The 24138-nt window shown below is 45.4% G+C and overlaps 1 protein-coding gene across 1 annotated transcript in view; it reads left to right on the forward strand.

The window, feature by feature from the left end:
- Positions 1 to 24138, forward strand: part of SPATA31H1 (SPATA31 subfamily H member 1) — a 45337-nt gene that overhangs the window by 2372 nt on the left and 18827 nt on the right. The window lies entirely within an intron of this gene.

The following is a 24138-nucleotide window of genomic DNA, read 5'->3' on the forward strand; positions in this document are numbered from 1 at the left end:
GCCCCCGGACGGGGCGGCTGGCCAGGCAGAGGGGTCCTCACTTCCCAGTAGGGGCGGCCGGGCAGAGGCGCCCCTCACCTCCCGGACCGGGCGGCTGGCCAGGCGTGGGGCTGATCCCCCCCACCTCCCTCCCGGATGGGGCGGCTGGCCGGGCGGGGGGCTGACCCCCCCACCTCCCTCCCGGACGGGGCGGCTGGCCAGGCGGGGGGCTGATCCCCCCACCTCCCTCCCGGACTGGGCGGCTGGCCGGGCGGGGGGCTGACCCCCCCACCTCCCTCCCGGACGGGGCGGCTGGCCGGGCAGAGGGGTCCTCACTTCCCAGTAGGGGCGGCCGGGCAGAGGCGCCCCTCACCTCCCGGACGGGGCGGCCGGCCGGGCGGGGGGCTGACCCCCCCACCTCCCTCCCGGACGGGGCGGCTGGCCGGGCAGAGGGGCTCCTCACTTCCCAGTAGGGGCGGCCGGGCAGAGGCGCCCCTCACCTCCCGGACGGGGCGGCTGGCCGGGCGGGGGGCTGACCCCCACCACCTCCCTCCCGGACGGGGCGGCTGGCCGGGCAGAGGGGCTCCTCACTTCCCAGTAGGGGCGGCCGGGCAGAGGCGCCCCTCACCTCCCGGACTGGGCGGCTGGCCGGGCGGGGGGCTGACCCCCCCACCTCCCTCCTGGACGGGGCGACTGGCCGGGCAGAGGGGCTCCTCACTTCCCAGTAGGGGCGGCCGGGCAGAGGAGCCCCTCACCTCCCGGACGGGGCGGCTGGCCGGGCGGGGGGCTGACCCCCCCCCCACCTCCCTCCCGGTCGGGGTGGCTGCCGGGCGGAGACGCTCCTCACTTCCCAGACGGGGTGGCTGCCGGACGGAGGGGCTCCTCACTTCTCAGATGGGGCGGTTGCCAGGCAGAGGGTTTCCTCACTTCTCAGACGGGGCGGCCGGGCAGAGACGCTCCTCACCTCCCAGACAGGGTTGCGGCCCAGCAGAGGCGCTCCTCACATCCCAGACAGGGCGGCGGGGCAGAGGTGCTCCCCACATCTCAGACGATGGGCGGCCGGGCAGAGACGCTCCTCACTTCCTAGATGGGATGGCGGCGGGGAAGAGGCGCTCCTCGCTTCCTAGATGGGATGGCGGCCGGGCAGAGACGCTCCTCACTTTCCAGACTGGGCAGCCAGGCAGAGAGGCTCCTCATATCCCAGACGATGGGGGGCCAGGCAGAGACGCTCCTCACTTCCCAGACGGGGTGGCGGCTGGGCAGAGGCTGCAATCTCGGCACTTTGGGGGGCCAAGGCAGGCGGCTGGGAGGTGGAGGTTGTAGCGAGCCAAGATCACGCCACTGCACTCCAGCCTGGGCACCATTGAGCACTGAGTGAAGGAGACTCCGTCTGCAATCCCGGCACCTCGGGAGGCCGAGGCTGGCGGATCACTCGCGGCTAGGAGCTGGAGACCAGCCCGGCCAACACAGCAAAACCCCGTCTCCACCAAAAAAAACATGAAAACCAGTCAGGCGTGGCGTGGCGGCGAGCGCCTGCAATCGCAGGCACTCGGCAGGCTGATGCAGGAGAATCAGGCAGGGAGGCTGCAGTGAGCCGAGATGGCAGCAGTACCGTCCAGCTTTGGCTCGGCATCAGAGGGAGACCGTGGAAGGAGACCGTGGGAAGGGGGAGAGAGAGAGGGGAGAGGGGAGAGGGAGAGGGAGAGACACCAACTCATCATTTTCTATGAGGACTACATTCATCATGGTATTTCCAGTGCCTAGTATACTGGCTGGCATATAGTAAGTGCTCCGTAGTTGTTTGTGAAATGAACGAACGACTTCTCAGTTTTAACCCTGAATGACTCACAAGATGATGGTGTTTTTTAAACGACATAGGCAACATTACACATGAAAAGTTGTGAATGTGGTGGGAGGCAGAATATGAACCATTGTGTTGGAAGTGCTTGTAAAATTTCTGTGGAGATATTCATCAAGCAGCTCAAATTAATGGCTGAGACCTGTGATGTTCAATATGGTATCTGCTAATCATATGTGACCATTTAAATTTTTTATTTTTGAGACAGGTTCTCCCTCTGTCACCCAGGCTGGAGTGCAACACATGGCTCACTGCAACCTCAACCTCCTGAGCTCGAGTGATTCTCCTACCACAGCCTCCCAATTAGCTGAGACTACAGGCCCATGCCACCATGCCTAGCTAATTTTTTAATTTTTTTTGGTAGAGAGAGGGTATCGCCATGGTGCCCAGCTGGTCTCAAACTCCTGGGCTCAAGCAATCCACACACCTCAGCCTTCCAAAGTGCTGGGACTACAGGCATGAGCCACCACACCCGACCTTAAGTTAATTAAAATTAAATAAAATTTAAAATTCTGTTTCTGGCTGGGCGCGGTGGCTCATGCCTGTAATCCTGGCACTTTGGGAGGCCAAGGCAGGTGGATCACTTGAGGTCAGGAGTTCGAGACCAGCCTGGCAAACATGCTGAAACCCCATCTCTACTAAAAATACAAAAATTAGCTGGGCGTGGTGGTGGGTGTCTGTAGTCCCAGCTACTCAGGAGGCTGAGGCAGGAGAATCGCTTGAACCTGGGAGGCGGAAGTTGCAGTGAGCCGAGATCATACCACTGTACTCCAGCCTGGGTGACAGAGTGAGACTGTCTCAAAAAAATAAAAATAAAAATAAATAAAATTTAGTTCCTCTATTGAAGTAGCTACGTTTCAAGTGCTCACATGTAACTAGAGGCTCTCATATTGGATAGGACAGATATAGAATATTTGATATATTTGACAGATATAGAATATTTGATATAGATGATATTCCATCATCATAGAAAATTCTATAGGATAGCGCCAGCCTAGACCTAGATCTTGAAGACAGATATGGCTATAGTTATATGGGGGTCACAAGGTCCTTTCCATTTTTTTCTCAGAAACATCTCTCAAATTCAGCAATCTAGATCTAGATTGTCTTAACTAAAACTTCATCTCTTGAACTATTTACAGTCTTATATAACTGGGGTCTCCTACTTTTCCAGCCTGGAGCACAGACCTTGCCTCCACAAAACAAAAAGACAACATACAGTCTGGGAGTGGTGGCTCATGCCTGTAATCCCAGAACTTTGGGAGGCTGAGGCAGGCGGATCACCTGAGGTCAGGAGTTCGAGACCACCCTGTCTCTACTGAAAATACAAAAATTAGCTGGGTATGGTGGCGTGCACCTGTAGTCCCAGCTACTAGGGAGTCCCAGCTACTCCAGAGGCTCCCAGGCTCAGTGGCTTGAACCTGGGAGGCGGAGGTTGCAGTGAGCCAAGATCGTCCCACTGCACTGCACTCCAGCGTGGATGACAGAGCAAGATGCTGTCTGAAAACAAACAAACATAACACACACAAACCCCCCAAAGCTAATTGTGTCACTCTGCTAAAAGTAACTAAGCACACAAAATTTCTGTGTACTCTATTGCCTGCAGCAGCATTTCCAAACCTTTTTTGACTCTCAAACTTCTTTCATCCTCATAATTTTGTCAACCTCCTTAGGAACTTAAAAAGCATTTTGTCCGTTTTTCATAAGTTATTTTAGATAAATTTTATTTTAAAACAATATCTTTTTATAATTGCAAAGTTATTTTAACATCATGTTTAAGAGTAAAAGACAAATGTCTACTTTTTCTTCTGTAACAAGTGATGCATGACATTTAATTGATTTTATATTAGGTGTGAGAATTTTCACATCAATTGGGTATGAGAAATGGCAAGGGCTTTTTTTTTGTCTATATCAAATATAATCTGGCTTAAGCCTCCCTTTAACTAGGTTGGCAAAAAAAAAAAAAATAGTCCAGTATCATTTTTCCTCCCCAACCTTTGTGTTGTATAAGAACTCCACAGTTTCTGCAGTTTATCCAGAGTAGAAGTGAGTCAGGCCCTTAAGCCACAGGGATAGCTCTTGCTTTTCTTCTTAGCCATCTGAAGGCAAAAAGTGTGTCTCAACCCCTCTCTACCAGTCTCAGGGGTCTTTGCTAAGGTCCCTAAGCTGCTGCACCTGGGCTCTTAACACCAGAAGGGCTCCGGGACCCCCTACCCAAGGTTCTCCTACCCAGTGCACCTGCAGCTTCAGCATTGTTTCCATTTCAAGGAGCCAGCTTCCCTCCTGTCTCAACCCTCTGGCACGTTTCAGCTTAAAATTTTCGCAGATCTAGACTTATTGACGGTTGTTTTTTAGGTTCCTGACAATTTTTTTCAGTCCTGAAAAACTAAGTCCCTGCTGTGCATTAGGAGTTCCAAGACCCTAAGAACAAAGGCCTGGCTACCTTCTTTGGTATGGGAATACATGAATCTACTTCCTTTCTCAGAAAGATGCCGCAATAAAAATACAGTGTAAATTACTCAGGAAGTCACTCTGCTTCATAAATCAACAAATACAATTTCTTTCTACATATTTATGTAATAAAAAGCTTTTTTGTTAACAAATACATTTTTATTAAGGTATAATTGAATACCATAAAATGCACATATATTAATTGTATAGGGTGATGAGTTTTGATAAATTTATATACCCATGTAACTAAAACCCTAATAAAGATATGGCATAGCCATAACCCTGAATAGTTCCCTCATGTTATTTTCTAGTCTCTGCCCTCCTCTCTGCTCAGACACAACCTCTATTCTGATTTCTATTGTCATGGACTAGTTTTGCCTGTTCTTGAACCTTGCAAAAAGTAGAATCATACAGCATATATTCTTGTGTGTCTGACTTCTTTTGCTAAGCATAATGTGTTTGAGATTCATCTTGTTGACAACAATTTTTTTTTTTTTTTTTTTTTCTGAGACGGAGTCTTGCTCTGTCACCCAGGCTGGAGTACAGTGGCGCAATCTTGGCTCGCTGCAGCCTCTGCCTCCCAGATTCAAGCGATTCTCTTGGCTCAGCCTACCAAGTAGCTGGGATTACAGATGCATGCCACCATGCCTGGCTAACTTTTGTATTTTTAGTAGGGACGAGGTTTCACCATGTTGGCCAGGCTGGTTGGTCAGGCTGGTCTTGAACTCCTGACCTCAGGTGATCCGCCCACCTCAGCCTCCCAAAGCAGTGGGATTATAGGCCTAAGCCACTTCATCCGGCCGACAACAACAAATTTTAAAGTGACATTATACCATATCATGCTTGTTAATTTGGGGACCCAGCGTATATTGAAATGTAGAATGAAATTTAACTACCTATTGTGGCATTAAAAATAGCCAAAAAAAGGCTCTGTGATCTTATATTTGGAATTCTTGCACATTGCATTTCAAAAAGTCAAATTTTTTTTTTTTTTTGAGACAGAATCTTACTCTGTTGCACAGGCTGGAGTGCAATAGCTCAATCTCGGCTCACTGCAACCTCCATCTCCCAGGTTCAAGTGATTCTCCTGTCTCAGCCTCCCAAGTAGCTGGGACTACAGGCATGCACCACCATGCCCAGTTAATTTTTGTAGTTTTAGGAGAGATGGAGTTTTGCCATGTTGGCCAGACAGGTTTCGAACTCCTGACCTCAGGTGATCTGCCCGCCTTGGCCTCCCAAAGTGCTGGGATTACAGGTGTGAGCCACCACACCTGGCCTGTTTATTTTTTGTGGTTAAAAAAGTTATATCTATATGATAAAGAAGAAGGTTTCAGGATTTTAATTACACATAATGCATTGTTGGTGGGTTTCTTATCTCCAATAGGAGAGGAATTGCTTGGTCATGTGGTATATATGTTTAATTTTAGTAGATGACACCAGTTTTCTAAAGTGATTATACCAAGAATAGCGTCTGAGAATTCTAGTTGCTCCACCTTCTTGCCAACACTTGGCATTGTCCATCTTTTCCTTTTTCTTTTTTTTTTTTTTGAGACGGAGTCTTGCTCTGTCTCCCAGCCTGAAATGCAGTGATGCTATCTTGGTTCACGCAACCTCTGCCTCCTGAGATCAAGTGATTCTCCTGCCTCAGCCTCCTAAGTAGCTGGGACCACAGGTGTGCGCCACCATGCCTGGCTGCTTTTTTAGGTGGGGTTTCACCATGTTGGCCAGGCTGGTCTTGAACTCCTGACATTGGGTGATCTGCCCCCCTCGGTCTCCCAAAGTGCTGAGATTACAGGTGTGAGCCATTGCACCCAGTTCATCTTTTTCATTTTAGTCACTCTGGTGAGTCTGTGTGGTATTGCATTGTGGTTTTAATGTGCATTTCCCTAATGACTTATGATAATGTGCAACTTCTCATGTTTATTGGCCATTTGGAAATTCTCTTTTGTGAACTGGCTGTTCAAGTCTTTTGCATATTTTTAATAATTGGGTTTCTTTTACTTAACTGATTTGTAGGAATTCTTTGAATACTATGGACATGAGTCCTTTGCCAGATAAAGGTATTTAAAATAAATTCTACCACTCTGTGACTCACTTTTTCATTTACAATTGTGTCTTAATGACCAAAAGTTCTAAATTTTAATGAAATCCAATTTATGAAGTTATGTTCTTAAGATTAGTGTTCCCCTCCCTACCCCTATCCCCAGTGCAAGAAACCTTTGCTAACCACTAGGCCATGAAGATACCCTTCTATATTTCTTCTAGAACCCTTATTTTTTTTCTTTCACATTTAGCTCTATGATCCATCTCAAATTACTTTTTGTGTATGGTGTGAGGTAGGGGTCAACACTCCCCTCCTCCCCATATAGATATCTAATTCTTCCAGTAGGGCAGGAACTAGGATAAAAATGAGTGAGGTACTCACCTTGAACACAAAATGTAAGGAACACCAAAAAACTTAATAATCGAGATATTTAATGAAACGTTCTTATTCTTTTTCTTATTGAGACAAGATTTTATTCTGTTGCCCAGGCTGAAGTGCAGTGGTGTGATTACAGCTCACTGCAGCCTCAACCTCTTGGGCTCAAGTGATACTTCCACCTCAACCTCCCAAGTAGCTGGGACCAGTGACATGCTTCACCACACCTGGCTAATTTTTGTGTTTTTTGTGGAGATGAGGTTTTGCCATGTTGCCCAGTCTGGTCTCGAACTCCTCAGTTCAAGTAATTTGCCTGCCTTGGCCTCCCAAAGTGTAGGATTACAGGCATAAGCCACCATGCCTGGCCTAATGCAATATTATTTAAAAATAAAAATTAATGCAAAAAAATCCATGATGAACAAAATATCAGAATTTAAAATCTGACCCTACACTTTCACGACTCTTTCTCACCACTTCACTGTAATCCCTGTCCTTTCCTCCAGCACCATTTATTGAAAAGACCATCCTATTCTCATTGAATTTTATTGGTGACCTTGTCATAAATCAGGTAAATGTATACATGTGGGTCTATTTCGGGACTCTCTGTTTTGTTACATTGGTCTGCCTATCCTCACACTGATATCTTGCTATTTTCAATAATGTAGCTTTGTAGTGACTTAAAATTTGGTAATGTAAGTCTTCCAACTTTGATCTTTTTTTTTTTTTTTTGAGACAGTCTCACTCTGTCACCCAGGCTAGAGGGCAGTGAGGTGATCTCAGCTCACTGCAACTTCCGCCTTCCAGGTTCAAGTGATTCTCCTGCCTCAGCCTCCCGAGTAGCTGGGATTACAGGTGCACACCACCATGCCCAGCTAATTTTTGTATTTTTTAGTAGAGATAAGGTTTAACCATGTTGGCCAGGCTAGTCTTGAACTCTTGACCTCAGATGATCTGCTCACCTTGGCCTCCCAAGGTGCTGGGATTACAGGTGTGAGCCACCAGGCCTGGTCCCAACTTTGACCTTTGAAGTTGTCTTAACTATTCTAGGTCATTGACATTTCCATATAAATCTGTGAATCATCCTGTTAATTGTCACACAAAACATGCAGGGTTTTAGATTGAGAATGTATTGGATTTATAGTTTAATTGGAGATAACTGACATCCCCAAAATAATAAGCCTTCTGATCTATGAGTGTGTTCATGTCTCGTTTATTTAGACTTTCTTAATTTATCTCAATAATAGTTTTCAATATAGAGGGGTTTTTTGAAGCTATAGTAATACTTTTTCATTTTTATTAAGAAAATTTTAAACAAATTGAAAATATATAGAAGTGTGTCATGAATCTTCATGGATCCATCACCCAGCTTCAACTCTCTTACCTTATTATTTTGAAGTAAATCCCAGATAATATAATTTCATTTGTAAATATTTTAGTATATCTAAAACATAAGAACTCTTTAAAAATAGTTAAACACAATACCATTATCATGCCAAAAAATTTAATAGTAATTTCTTTTTTTTTTTTTTTTTTTTGAGATAGAGTCTTGCTCTGTCACCCAGGCTGGAGTGTAGTGGCACAGTCTCGGCTCACTGCAAGCTCCACCTCCTGGGTTCACGCCATTCTCCTGCCTCAGCCTCCCCAGTAGCTGGGACTACAGGCGCCTGCCACTGTGCCTGGCTAATTTTTTGTATTTTTAGTAGAGACGGGGTTTCACCGTGGTCTGGATCTCCTGACCTCGTGATCTGCCCACCTCGGCCTCCCAAAGTGCTGGGATTACAGGTGTGAGCCACCGCGCCCGGACTTAACAGTAGTTTCTTAATACCATCAAATACCCTTCAGCATTCAAACTCCAATTATCGCCTGGGTGCAGTGACTCAAGTCTGTAACCCCAGCACTTTGGGAGACTGAGGCAGGAGGATTGCTTGAGCTCAGGAGTTGGAGATCAGCCTGGGCAACATGGTGAAACCCTGACTCTACTAACAATATAAAAATTAGCTGGGTGTGGTGGTGTGCGCCTGTGGTCCCAGCTACTCAGGAGGCTGAGGTGGGAGGGTCACTTGAGCCTCGGGGGAAGAGGTTGCATTGAGCCAAGTTTACTCCACAGCACTCCAGCTTGGGTGACGGAGCCAGGCCCTGTTTCAAAAAAAAAAAAAAAATCCCAATTGTCTCCTAAGTGATATAAATTATTATTTATAGTCTGTTTGATTCAAGATCACAGATTGAAATGGATTTGTGAGTCTCTTAAGTGTCTTCTAATCTGTAAATTCTCCATCTTCATTTCTTTATTTTATTCTGTCCATTTATTTATGTGTTGAAGAAATGGGGCCTGGTGCAGTGGCTCAAGCATGTAATCCCAGCACTTTGGGAGGCCGAGGTGCTTGGATCACTTGAGGTCAGGAGTTCAAGACCAGCCTGGCCAACATGGTGAAACCCCATCTCTACTAAAAATACAAAAAATTTGCCAGGTGTGGTGGCACGCGCCTGTAATCCCAGCTACTGGGGAGGCTGAGGCAGGAGAATTGCTTGAACCCAGGAGGCGGAAGTTGCATGAGCTGAGATCACGCCACTGCACTCCAGCCTGAGCAACAGAGTGAGACTCCGTCTCAAAAAAAAAAAAAAAAAAAAAAAGAAATGGGTTATTTGTCCTTTAGATTTTGCAGTTAACATTTTGCTGATTAAATGTCCGTATTGTCATTTAACATGTTCCCTTATGTCCTGTATGTTTTGTAAATGGGGAAGTTGGATCTAAGACTTATCAGAATTCATATTTTTTGAGGAGGGGAAGAAGATATTTCATAGGTGATGATAATCATCAAGAGGCACATAATGTCTGGTTTGGTGTGGTATTTTAAATGTCATTTTCTTTTATTTATTTACTTTTTTTTTTAAGAGATAGGATCTCTTTGTGTTGTCCAGGCTGAAGTGCAGTGGCACAATCATAGTCACTGCAGCCTTGAACTTTTGGGCTCAAGTGATCCGACCACCTCAGCCTCCTGAGTAGTTAGGACTACAGGAATGTGTCACCATACCTGGCTAATTTTTAAAATTTCTTCTGTGGAGGCCAGGTGTGGTGGCTCACACCTGTAATCCCAGCACTTTGGGAGACTTAGTCAGGTGGGATCACCTGAGGTCAGGAGTTCAAGACCAGCCTGGCCAACATGGTGAAACCCCATCTCTACTAAAAATACAAAAAATTAGTCTGGCATGATGGCATGCCTGTAGTCTCAGCTACTTGGGAGGCTGAGGTAGGAGAATCACTTGAGCCTGGGAGGCGAAGGTTGCAGTGAGCTAAGATCACACCACTGCACTCCAACCTGGGTGACAGAGCAAGACTCCGCCTCAAAAAATAAAAATAAATAAAATTTCTTTTGTGGAGATGGGGTCTCACTATATTGCCCAGGCTGGTCTTCAATTCCTGGCCTCAAGCAATCCTCTCACCTTGGCCTCCCAAGGTGCTGGGATTACAGGCATGAGCAACCATACCCAGCCTTAAATGTCATTTTCTAAATGATCCTGATACTTGAAAACACAAAAGATTTTTATAAATTGACTTTCTACCTAGAGACTTTGCTAAATTTGCTTATCAATTCTAATTATTTATCTATAGATGTTTTGGATATTCTACACAACTATATTGTCTGCAAATGATAATTTTATTTCTTTCTTTCTGATTCTTATACCTTTTCTTTTTCTTGTATTATTCCATTGATTAGGACTTCCTCTACAATGTTCAATAGAGATGGTATAGTGGGGATTCTTTTTTTTTTAATGTAGAGGATAGTTTGCAATAATTCATCATTTATGTGTAATGTTTGCTATATAAACATTACACATCATTTATGTGTAATGTTTGATAGAGTGTATTTACAAAATACTCTATCAAATTAAGGAGGTTCCCTTTTATTTCCAGTCTGCAAATAGTTTTAGTATGAATGGGTGTTAAATTTTTTTTTTTTTTTTTTTTTTTTTGAGACAGAGTCTCACTCTATTGCCCGGGCTGGAGTGCAGTGGTGCAATCTCTGCTCACTGCAACCTCCGCCTCCTGGGTTCAAGCGATTCTTGTGCCTCAGTCTCCTGAGTAGCTGGGATTACAGGCAAGTGCCACCAGGCCTGGCTAATTTTTGTATTTTTAGTAGAGATGGGATTTCACCATTTTGGTTAGGCTGTGCTGAAACTCCTTTCCTCAGGTGATCTGCCTGCCTTGACATCCCAAAGTGCTGAGATTATAAGCATGAGTCACTGCGCCTGGCTGGGTGATAAATTTTATCAAGTGATTTTCATGTCTCTATGTGAGATGGTTATATGGTTTTCTTATTTATCCTATTAATGTGCTGAATTACACTGAGTTTTGAAAACAAAACAACTGTGAATTCTTGGAATAAATATAATATGTTCATGATGCTTTTGTTTATTTTCTTTTCTTTTTCTTCTTTTTTTTTTGAGATGGAGTCTCACTCTGTCACCCAGGTTGGAGTGCAGTGGTATGATCTCAGCTCACTGCAACCTCTGCCTGCTGGATTCAAGTGATTGTCCTGCCTCAGCCTTTCTACTAGCTGGGACTAAGGCACCTGCCACCATACTCGGCTAAGTTTTTGTATTTTTAGTAGAGACAGGGTTTCATCAAGTTGGACAGGCTGGTCTCGAACTCCTGACCTCAAGTGATCCACCTGCCTTGGCCTCCCAAAGTGCTGGGATTACAGGTGTGAGCCACTGTGCCTGGCGGATGCTTTTCATATATTATTGGATTAACTTTGCTGATATTTTGTTTAGGACTTTTGCATCTGTGTTCATGAAAGAGATTGGCTTATGATTTTTCTTTCTAATATTGTCCTTATTAGATTTTAGAATCAAGGTTATCCCTGCCTCCTAACATAGGAGAAGTAATTTCTCTTTTTCACCTCGTTATATGAGAGACACCCCTAACACAAAATTCTAAAGGCTTCTGATGTTTTATGCTAGGCACCTGGGACAAAACCAGATTATTCTTTATTATAACAAACACACATATATGAAAAAGAGACAGGGAGAGAGAGATTTTAAGAAATCGGCTCACAAAATTGTCAGGGCTTACAAATCAGAAATCCATAGGGCAGACCAGAAACTCAAGAGTTGATGTTGTAGTCTTGAGTCCAAAGTCAGCATAGGCCAGGCTAGAAACTCAGGCAAGGATTTTCCATTGCAGTCTTGAGGCAGAATACCTTCCTCTTCAGGAAACCTCAGTCTCTGCTCTCAAGGCCTTCAACTGATTGGGTGATGCCCACCCACATTATGGACATTAATCAGCTTTAAGGTGTACTAATTCTAAATGTTAAGCACATCTGAAAACTACTTTCACAGCAACAAGCAACATCTAGACTAGCTTTTTTTTTTGTTGTTGTTAGATGGAGTCTCCCTCTGGAGTGCAGAGGTGCCATCTCAGCTCACTGCAACCTCCGCCTCCTGGATTCAAGCAATTCTCCTTCCTCAGCCTCCCGAGTAGCTGGGACTACAGGCGTGCACCACCATGCCCAGCTAATTTTTGTATTTTTAGTAGAGACGAGGTTTCACCATGTTGGCCAGGATGGTTTTGATCTCTTGACGTCATGATCCACCCGCCTTGGCCTCCCAAAGTGCTGGGATTACAGGTGTGAGCCACCGTGCCCAGCCCTAGACTAGCTTTTGAACAAACAGCTGGGCACATAGCTTAGCCAAGTTGACATGAAATTAACCATCACAATCCTATGTTTTCTTCTGAGAGTTTTATAGTTTTACAGCTCTTACATTTAGGTCTTTGCATCATTTTGAATTAATTTTTTGAATTAGATGGTGTGAATTAAGAGTCCAACTTCATTCTTTTGCATGTGGCTATCTAGTTGTCCCAGCACCATTTGTTGAAGAGACTATTATTTTCCTATCTAATGGTCTTGTTACCCTTATAGAAAATCAATTGATTTGTAGATGTATGGATTTATTTCTAGACCCAATTTGATTTCATAGATCTATATGTTTATCCTTATGCCAGTACCACACTGTTTTGATTACTACAGCTTCGTAAGTTTTAAAATCAGGAAGTATGAGTCCTCCAACTTTGTTCTTTTTCAAGATTGTTTTGGCTATTTAGGGACCTTTGTAATTCCATATGAATTTTAGGACCAGCTTTTTCATTTCTGTAAAAAAGGCTATTGGGATTTTGATAGGGATTATACTGAATCTGTAGATTGCTTTGGGGAATATTGCCATTTTAATAATATTAAATATTCCAATCCATGAACAAGGGATGTCTTTCCATTTATTTAGGTCTTCTTTAGTTTTTCAACAATGCTTTGAACCTCTCAGTGTACAATCTTGCATGTCCTTGATTAAATTTATTCCTGAGTATTTTATTATTTTGGATGCTAAAAATGGAGTTGCTTTTATTAGCTCTAATAGGTTTCTTCTGGTTTCTTTCCGATATTCTGTATGTAAGATGTGTCATCTGTGAACACAGTTTTACTTGTTCCTTTCTAATTTGCATGGCTTTTCTTTTCCTTGCCTAATTGCTCTGGTTAGAACTTCTGTACAATTTTAAACAGATGAGGCATCACTGGGGCAATGTTCCTGACTTCTAGACCCACCGGAGTGAAGGACCTGCTCCAGTGGCTCTACTTGGCAGGAGTTGCAGCCCCAGGACTTTGCCAGGTGGCCCTGCCCACACAGCTTTGGGTAGAGGTTGTCTAACCTGTTGAAAGTGAGGCAATGGTCCCTCTTTTTGAAACTGAGGTGGCAGCCCCGATGATCTCTGAATCACCTTCCAGGTTATTCTTTCCTTGTCTTCCAGAATAGTGTATGTTTGTGGCTGAAGAGCTCTATGGTCCCAAATTGTAAAATTCAAGAAGACCAACAGCCTTCTCTCATTCCCTCCCATCTCCTGCTCCTTCAGTTCAACCTGGCAGTTTTCCTGCTGTGGTGGCTGATTAAGTCCATGTTTCACACATATACTGATCTCCTTATCAAAGGGTCACTTGGTCACACCTTTAGTGTTCTCTTTGAATACACTTTCTCATTTTTTGCAAAAGGGATAGGCTGAAAACTTTTCATATCCTTAAATTCTAATTCCTTATAATTCCATCTTCAAGTCAATTCTTCTCTCATTTTACCACAAACAGGAGAACCAAGGCACTTCTTCAAAACTTTACTTAGAAATCTCATTAGCTGGCCGGGCATGGTGGCTTGTGCCTGTAATCCCAGCACTTTGGGAGGCTGAGGCAGGCAGATCACCTGAGGTCAGGAGTTCGAGACCAGCCTGGCCAACATGGTGAAACCCTGTCTGTACTAAAAATACAAAAATTAGCCGGGTGTGGTGGCATGTGCCTGTAATCCCAGCTACTCGGGAGGCTGAGGCAGGAGAATTGCTTGAACCCGGGAGGCGGAGGTTGCAGTGAGCTGAGATCACACCACTGCACTCCAGCCTGGGCAACAAGAAAAAAACTCTGTCTCAAAAAAAAAGAAAAGAAATCTCATTAGCTAAATATCCAGTTTCGTGACTCACAAGTTCTACTTTCCATAGAACACTAGAACATGAACATAATTCTGTTAAGTTCTTTGCCACTTTATAAGGACCACCATTTCTCTGTTTCTAATAATATGTTCCTTATTTCTCTCTGAGACCTCGTCAGAATGGCCTTTACTGTGCATATTTCTACAAACATTGTGTTCGTGATTACTTAGATATTCTCTAAGAAGATGGAAGCTTTCTCTACAATTCTCCTCTTTTCTTTCTGAGCCCTCAGCAGCATCACCCTTAATAGTTCATTTATGGCAATGTAGGCTTTTTCTAGCATGCGCCTCAAAACTCTTCCACCCTCTTCTCATTATGCATTTTTTGGTGTTTGTGGCAACAGCACCCTCACTTCTTGGTACCAATTTCTATCTTAGTCCATTCAGGTTTCTGTAACAAAATATCATTAACTGGGTGGCTTATAAACAACAGAAACTTTTTTCTCACAGCTCTGGAGGCTGGGAAGTCCAGGATTGGGGTGCCAGCGTGGTCAGATTCTGGTGAGGTACTTCTAGGTTGCAGACTGGCAACTTCTTACTGTGTTTTTACATGGTGGAAAGACTGAGAGATATCTCTGGAGTTTTTTGTTTTTGTTTTGTTTTGTTTTTGAGACAGAGTCTTGCTCTGTTGCCAAGTCTGGAGTGCAGTGGCATGATCTCAGCTCACTGGAACCTCCTCCTTCTGGGTTCAAGCAATTCTTGTGCCTCAGCTATTTGAGTAGCTGGGATTACAGGCATGTGCCATCATGCCCGGCTAATTTTTGTATTTTTAGTAGGGACAGGGTTTCGCCATGTTGACCAGGCTGGTCTCAAACTCCTGGCCTTAAGTGATCCACCCACCTCAGCTTCCCAAAGTGCTGGGATTACAGGTGTGAGCCACCGTGCCCAGTCCTCTGGAGAATTTTTTGTAAGGACACTAATCCCATTCAAGAGGGAAACCCCTCATGACCTAATCACTTCCCAAAGGCCTCATCTACTAATACATTACATTGAGGGTAAGGATTTCAACATATGAATTTTGGGGGGGACATAAACATTGAGCCCATTGCAATGCTCTTTATCATGCTAAGGAAGTCTCCTTCTATTCCTGTTTGGTTGAGTGTTTTTATTATAAATTATTGTAGGATTATGTCAAATGCTTTTTTCTGCATCAATTTATAGGATCATGTGAGTTTTTCTTTTTTATGTTATTAATGTGGTATATTACAGTGATTTATTTTCTTATGTTGAAAAATCTTTGCGTTCTTGGAATAAATCCTGTTTTCACTACTTCTATTCAACATTGTTTTGAAAGTCCTAGGCAGACCAATTAGGCATACTATGAATAGTTTGCTTTTCTTTGACTGAAAATTTCTCTATTTTGCCTTAAATTTTGAAGGGTAGTTTCACTAAGTATAAAAGTCTAAGAGCCATGTGCTATGGTTCATGCCTGTAATCCCAGCACTTTGAGAGGCCAAGACAGGAGGATCACTTGAGGCCAGCAGTTTGAGACCAGCATGGGAAACACAGTAAGATCCCATCTCTCCAAAAACCAAAAAAAAACTGGCTGGGTGTGGTGGTGTGCACCTGTAGTCCTAGCTACTCAGGAGGCTGAGACAGGATGATTGCTTGAGCCCAAGAGTTTGAGGTTACAGTGAGCTATGATTGTGTCACCGCACTGCAGTGCGGTGCAGTTTCCTTTTAGAGATCTGGTCTCTAAAAGGAAAAAAAATATCTAGGTAGGCACTTAGTCTCTTTTAGCACATTAAAAGATGTTATTCTATTGTTTTCTGGCTTCCAATATTTCTAAAAGATATCAACTATTCATCTTATTCCTCCTTTGAATATAATGCATCTTTTATTTTTGCTGGTTAAGACCCATTGTGTTAGGGCTGGGTGCGGTGGCTCACGCCTGTAATCCCAGCACTTTGGGAAGCTGAGGCGAGCGGATCATGAGGTCAAGAGATCGAGACCATCCTGGCCAACATGGTGAAACACCGTCTCTACTAAAAATACAAAAATTAGCTGGGCATGGTGGCATGTGCCTGTAGTCCTAGCTACTTGGGAAGCTGAGGCAGAAGAAGTGCTTGAATTGGGGAGGCGGAGGTTGCAGTGAGCCGAGATCGCGCCACTGCACTCCAGCATGCTGACGAGCTGGACAAGACTCCATCTCAAAAAAAAAAAAAAAAAAAAAAATTCATTGTGTTGGTATTCAGCATTCTGTAGTGTACTTAAGTTTAGGTTTTCTTTGTCTTCATGCTGCTTCATAACACTTCTTGCATCTAAGGCTTGCACCTTAGGCTTTCTCAGTTTTGGAAAGCCCTTTTTTTTTTTTTTAATAGACTGTATTTTAAAGCAGTTTTTAGGTTCACAGCAAAATTGAGCAGAAAGTACAGACAGTTACCATATACTCCCTGCACTGTTAGCTTTCAAATGTTGTTTCTGCTTGCCTTTGTGTCTGGGACTCCTGTCTCCCCTTTCCTTCTGGGACTCCTATTACTGTGTCCCATATACCTATTGGCTCTTTTATCTATTTTCTTTCCATGCTTCATTATGGATATTTTCTTCAGACATTTCTTCAGTTGTGTCTAATCTGTACCCCTTACTGAGTTCTTTATTTCTCCTGTTCTAGAATTTCCATTAGATTTTTTTTATTTTTTTTCAGTTTTTAGTTCTTGGCCAAAATTCTCCATCTCGTCATCTAATTTCTTGTATATATAAAGGGCATATATTTTTTTTTTTTTAATTAATTTATTTTTTTTTTATTGATCATTCTTGGGTGTTTCTCGCAGAGGGGGATTTGGCAGGGTCATAGGACAATAGTGGAGGGAAGGTCAGCAGATAAACAAGTGAACAAAGGTCTCTGGTTTTCCTAGGCAGAGGACCCTGCGGCCTTGGCCTTCCGCAGTGTTTGTGTCCCTGGGTACTTAAGATTAGGGAGTGGTGATGACTCTTAACGAGCATGCTGCCTTCAAGCATCTGTTTAACAAAGCACATCTTGCACCGCCCTTAATCCATTTAACCCTGAGTGGACACAGCACATGTTTCAGAGAGCACAGGGTTGGGGATAAGGTCACAGATCAACAGGATCCCAAGGCAGAAGAATTTTTCTTAGTACAGAACAAAATGAAAAGTCTCCCATGTCTACTTCTATCCACACAGACCCGGCAACCATCCGATTTCTCAATTTTTTCCCCACCCTTCCCGCCTTTCTATTCCACAAAACCGCCATTGTCATCGTGGCCCATCCCCAATGAGCCGCTGGGCACACCTCCCAGACGGGGTCGTGGCCGGGCAGAGGGGCTCCTCACTTCCCAGTAGGGGCGGCCGGGCAGAAGCGCCCCTCACCTCCCGGATGGGGCGGCTGGCCGGGCGGGGGGCTGACCCCCCCACCACCCTCCCGGACGGGGCGGCTGGCCAGGCAGAGGGGCTCCTCACTTCCCAGTAGGGACGGCCGGGCAGACGCGCCCCTCACCTCCTGGATAGGGCGGCTGGCTGGGCGGGGGGCTGTCCCCCCCACCTCCCTCCCGGACGGGGCGGCTGGCCGGGCAGAGGGGTCCTCACTTCCCAGTAGGGGCGGCCGGGCAGAGGCGCCCCTCACCTCCCGGACGGGGCGGCCGGCCGGAAGGGGGGCTGACCCCCCCCACCTCCCTCCCGGACCGGGCGGCTGGCCGACCCCCCCCCCCCCGCCTCCCTCCCGGACGGGGCGGCTGGCCGGGCAGAGGGGCTCCTCACTTTCCAGTAGGGGCGGCCGGGCAGAGGCGCCCCTCACCTCCCGGACGGGGCGACTGGCCAGGCGGGGGGCTGATCCCCCCACCTCCCTCCCGGACGGGGCGGCTGGCCAGGCGGGGGGCTGACCCCCCCCACCTCCCTCCCGGACGGGGCGGCTGGCCGGGCAGGGGGCTGACCCCCCCTCCCCCCTCCCGGACGGGGCGGCTGGCCGGGCGGGGGGCTGACCCCCCCACCTCCCTCCCGGATGGGGCGGCTGGCCAGGCAGAGGGGCTCCTCACTTCCCAGTAGGGGCGGCCGGGCAGAGGAGCCCCTCACCTCCCGGACGGGGCGGCTGGCCGGGCGGGGGGCTGACCCCCCCCACCTCCCTCCCGGACGGGGTGGCTGCTGGGCGGAGACGCTCCTCACTTCCCAGACGGGGTGGTTGCCGGACGGAGGGGCTCCTCACTTCTCAGACGGGGCGGTTGCCAGGCAGAGGGTTTCCTCACTTCTCAGACGGAGCGGCCGGGCAGAGACGCTCCCCACCTCCCAGACAGGGCTGCGGCCCAGCAGAGGCGCTCCTCACATCCCAGACAGGGCGGCGGGGCAGAGGTGCTCCCCACATCTCAGACGATGGGCGGCCGGGCAGAGACGCTCCTCACTTCCTAGATGGGATGGCGGCGGGGAAGAGGCGCTCCTCGCTTCCCAGATGGGATGGCGGCCGGGCAGAGACGCTCCTCACTTTCCAGACTGGGCAGCCAGGCAGAGGGGCTCCTCACATCCCAGACGATGGGTGGCCAAGCAGAGACGCTCCTCACTTCCCAGACGGGGTGGCGGCCAGGCAGAGGCTGCAATCTCGGCTCTCCGGGAGGCCAAGGCAGGCGGCTGGGAGGTGGTTGCAGCGAGCCGAGATCACGCCACTGCACTCCAGCCTGGGCACCATTGAGCACTGAGTGAACGAGACTCCATCTGCAATCCCGGCACCTCGGGAGGCCGAGGCTGGCGGATCACTCGCGGCTAGGAGCTGGAGACCAGCCCGGCCAACACAGCGAAACCCCGTCTCCACCAAAAAAAACCGAAAACCAGTCAGGCGTGGCGGTGCGCGCCTGCAATCGCAGGCACTCGGCAGGCTGAGGCAGGAGAATCAGGCAGGGAGGTTGCAGTGAGCCGAGATGGCAGCAGTACCGTCCAGCCTTGGCTCGGCATCAGAGGGAGACCGTGGAGGGAGAGGGAGAGGGAGAGGGAGAGGGAGGGGGAGGGAGAGGGAGAGGGAGAGGGAGAGGGAGAGGGAGAGCTAAAGGGCATATATTTTAAAATCCATGTTTTATTACACCAATATCTGGATTGCCTTGGATTTGTTTTTATTCCCCATGTTTATCTCTTAGTCTTCAGTCAGTCGGTCTTGTCTTCTAGTAAGCATGGCAATTTTTTATTTAATACCAGAGATTTTATATATAATTTTGAAGAGAAAATTCAAGGTTCTGGATAAAGTTACTTTCCTCCAGAGAGTAGCGATATTTTTGCTTCTGGCAGTCATTTAGATGAGGGATCATCTCAATCCAATAAAGGATTAAATTTATCAGAGGCTGAGCTTCCATTTTTGAGCCTGGTTTATTTCAGGTTTATTCTTACTCCTAGGTATAGCCCTTCGGGGATTCCAGCTGAAAGCCGGGGATATTAGGGGTTCTCAACTCATTTTTTTGTTCATCTATTCCCATAAAACTGTGAAATTTCAGTTTAGCTGGGCTTATTTCCCTCCACTTCCTTTTTCTCTAGGATCTTGGCTCTTCTGGTTTTTGATCCCTTGATAGGTCTCTAATGACTTTAAATGGATATTTTAAAACATATTTTGTCCAACTTTTCTTGTTGTTTTCATTTGGAGGGTTCAAACCATTACTATAAATTGAAATCCCAAACTGGTGCTTTTTTTCTTTCCATTTTTTCCCCTTCTACTAGCTTGGAAGTTATGAACTCTGTTTCTATTATTTTAGTGGTTACTCCTCAGATTTAAATATATGTGCTTATCCATTCTTTATTCAGAAATGTTTTATCAATGCTAGTAAGCCCATCCATTTCAGTACTTTGCATTCTTATTAATTTCTGGAAGTAAGATTTGATTCTGTTTTCAAATCTGCTAGATAACTTTTTATGGGTTTCTGTTTCTTACAAATTTATACTTGTATTTTATTTATTTTTTTTCTTTTTTCTTTTTTTTTGAGATGGAGTCTCACTTGGTTGCCCAGGCTGGAGGGCAGTGGCGTGATCTCAGCTCACTGCAACCTCCACCTCCCGAGTTCAAGCAATTCTCCTGCCTCAGCCTCCTGAGTGGCTGGGACTACAGGCGCGCACCACCATGCCTGGCTAATTTTCGTATTTTTAGTAGAGATGGGGTTTCACCATGTTGGCCAGGATGGTCTCAATCTCTTGACCTCATCATCCGCCCACCTCAGCCTCCCAAAGTGCTGGGATTACAGGCGTGAGCCACCATGCCTGGCATTTTATTTCTTTAAATATAATATGCATAGGTGTTTTCTAATCTACCTCTGAAAATTCCAATACCTGACATCTTTGCAGGTTTGTTTCTGCACTTGTCCTTATTTTTTAATAGTTAACACTTCTGAAATTGGAGTATGTCTTACAATTGATGGTATTTAATAATTTGACTGTATTTTTTCATTCTACTACATATAAATTGATGGTACATTTTATAATCAATAGCATCTTAAATTTAATAAAATACGATATTTGTGAGGATTTTGAAGCCTAGGATGAATATTTTCCTCAAAGAGTATTTTTTTTTTTTTTTGAGATGGAGTCTTGCTCTGTCACCCAGGCTGGAGTGCAGTGGCAAGATCTCGGCTCACTGCAAGCTCAGCCTCCCGGGTTCACGCCATTCTCCTGCCTCAGCCTCCTGAGTAGCTGGGACTACAGGCGCCCGCCTCCACACCCAGCTAATTTTTTGTATTTTTAGTAGAGACGGGGTTTCACTGTGTTAGCCAGGATGGTCTCGATCTCCTGACCTCGTGATCCGCCTGCCTCGGCCTCCCAAAGTGCTGGGATTAACAGGTGTGAGCCACCGCGCCCAGCCTCCATAAAGAATATTTCATTTACTTTTGACTCTGGCACCATCAATCAGTCCAGGACCACTTTAAATTCATGGCTTGAAGGTTTTTTGGGACAACCCAGATAATGTGAACTTGAGCTGCCAAATATACAAAAGTTAGTCTGTGGTTATGACTTCTCAGGGATTTCACCCCAGACCCCTGGAATTCTCAGTGTGAAGGCAACTTTCTTTGCAGTTACCCAAGGTTAGGAGTGAGTGGTAGATTTGTCATTTTGAGGTTCCATTTGCATGTGGGAAGGTCTTCTACTGGATTAAAAAATTTCTGAGGAGCCTGGCACAGTGGCTCATGCACTTCAGGAGACCAAGAAGGGTGGATCACTTGAGGTCAGGAGTTTGAGACCAGCCTGGCCAATATGATGAAACCCTGTCCCTACGAAAAATACAAAAATGACCGGGGCATGGTGGTGCATGCCTGTAATCCCAGCTTCCCCAGGAGGCTGAGGTGTGTGAATTGCTTGAGCTTGGGAGGCAGAGGTTGCCATGAACTTTGAGCTACTGCACTCCAGCCTGGGTGACAGAAGGAAACTCTGTCTCAAAACAAAAAACTAATTTGAGACATACCAATGTATATATTTATGGTGTATAATGTGATGGTTTGTTGCATGTTTACACTGTGGATTGATTAAATCAAGTGAATTAACATATCCATCATCTCACTTATCTCTTTTGTGTGTGTGGCGGAAACATTTAAAATCTTCTTTTTCAGCAATTATGCCTATGGTTTATTTTTCTGAAGTTTTCCTTAAGGAGTTCTCTGCTCTAGGCCACAAAGATTTTCTCCTACCTTTTTTTCTATGTTCCAGTCTTACATTTCACATTTTAGTTTTTAATATACTTGGAGTCCACCTCTATATGTGGTATTAGGAAGTGATACAATTTTATTTTTCTCTATAATGAGCCAGTTTTCCCATAACCATTTTTTTTTTGAGACAGGGTTTCGCTCTTTCACTCAAGTTGGAGTGCAGTGGTGTGATCTCAGCTCAAAGCAACCACCTCCCGGGCTCAAGTGATCTTCCTACCTCAGCCTCCTGAGTAGCTGGGACCACAGGCATGTGCCACCACGCCCAGCTAGCTTTTTGTATTTTTTTGTAGAGATGGGGTTTCGTCACATAGCCCAGGCTGGTCTCAAACTCCTGAGCTCAAGCAATCTGCCAGCCTTGGCCTCCCAAAGTGCTGGGATTACAGGCGTGAGTCACTTTGCCCGATTCCCATCACCATTTGCTAAACAATCATTTTCCCATTGATTTATGGGACTCCCTTTATTATAATAAATGGCCATGTATACATAAGCTTGTCTCCGAGCTCTCTATCTGTTCCATTGGTCTATGTGTTCCTGTTTTTATTTCCTACAGCTTTGTAATGTATCTTAGTGTTTGGTACAGCAAGTCCCTCCTTTGCTGTTCTTTTTAGGGTTGATTTAGCTATCAGTAGGCCTTTATTTTGTCATATTAATTTTAGAGCATTTAACAAGTTCTTGAAACATTCCAAATGAAATATGAATTGGGAATGCATTAAAATATAATTTAAGCCTGGGCAACATAATGAGACCTCGTCTCTACAAAAAATAAAAAAAAATTAGCCAGGTGTGGGGTCATGCACCTGTAGTCCCAGCTACTTGGGAGGCTGAGAATTACTTGAGCCCAGGATGTTGAGGCTGTAGTGAGCCATGATCATGCCACTGCACTCCAGCCTAGGCAACAGAACGAGACCTTGTCTCAAAAAAAAAAAAAAGTAAATAAATATATATATATGTGTCTATATACAGACACACACACACATATATATAATTATATATATATATAATTTAATTTGGCTGGGTGCGGTGGCTCACGCCTGTAATCCTAGCACTTTGGGAGGCCGAGGCAGGTGGATCACGAGGTCAGGAGTTTGAGTTCGAGACCAGCTTGGCATGGTGAAACCCCATCTCTATTAAAAATATAAAAATTAGCTGGGCCTGGTGGTGCGCACATGTAGTCCCAGCTACTCAGGAGGCTGAAGCAGGAGAATCGCTTGAACCTGGGAGGTGGAGGTTGCAGTGAGCTGAGATCGCGCCACTGCACTCCAGCCTGGACGACAGAGTGAGATTCTGTCTCAAAAAAAAAAAAAAATTGGGGGAGTACTGACATCTTTGTGATTTCAAGTTATTCCAACCAAGAACTTGGACTATCTCTCCATTTATTCAGATCATCTTCTATGTTTTTTTTAGAATTTTACAGTTTTCTACATGGAAGTCTTCTGTATTCTTGGTTTACTTAATATCTTGATACTTTTATAATTTTTATTGCTATTGTGAAGAATATCTTTTATTAAATTATATTTTTATAGTTTTTACTGTAGTAGAGAAATGCTCCTGATATTTGTAAGTTGTTCTGGTATTCAGAAACCTTGGTGAATTATTTTATTATGTCTGACGTAGAATGTCTGATTATCATTTCAACTGCTTTCATACTTACTATCTACTCAAATGGTCTATTTCTTTTTGGCCAGTTTTGGTATCTTATATTTTTTCTAGGAATTTAACTATTTTATCAGAGTTTTCATATTCATTAATGTGTAGTTATTCAAACTGTTTTCTTCTTCCTCTTCTACTTCTTTTTTTTTTTTTTTTTTTTTTTTTTGAGACAGGGTCTTACTGTATCACCCAGGCTGGAGAGTGCAGTGGAAGGATCACATCTCACTGCAGCCTTGACCTCCCAGGCTCCAGAGATCCTCCTACCTCAGCCACCCAAGTATCTGGGAACACAGGCACACACCACCACACCCAGCTAATTTTTTTTTTTTTTTGAGACTGAGTCTTGCTCTGTCACCCAGCCTGGAGTTCAGTGGCGTGATCTCAGCTCACTGCAACCTCCACCTTCCAAGTTGAAGTAATTCTCCTGCCTCAGCCTCCCAAGTAGCTGGGATTACAGGTGCACGCCACCATGCCTGGCTAATTTTTTGTATTTTTAGTAGAGACGGTGTTTCACCATATTGGCCAGGCTGGTCTCAAACTCCCAACCCCAAGTGATCCATCTGCCTCGGCCTCCCAAAGTGCTGGGATTATAGGCATGAGCCACCGTGCCTGGCTGCCCCAGCTAATTTTTTAAAATTATTTTTTATTTT

This window comes from Homo sapiens, chromosome 2 (genome assembly GCF_000001405.40).
Source record: "Homo sapiens chromosome 2, GRCh38.p14 Primary Assembly".
Lineage (NCBI taxonomy): Eukaryota > Metazoa > Chordata > Mammalia > Primates > Hominidae > Homo > Homo sapiens.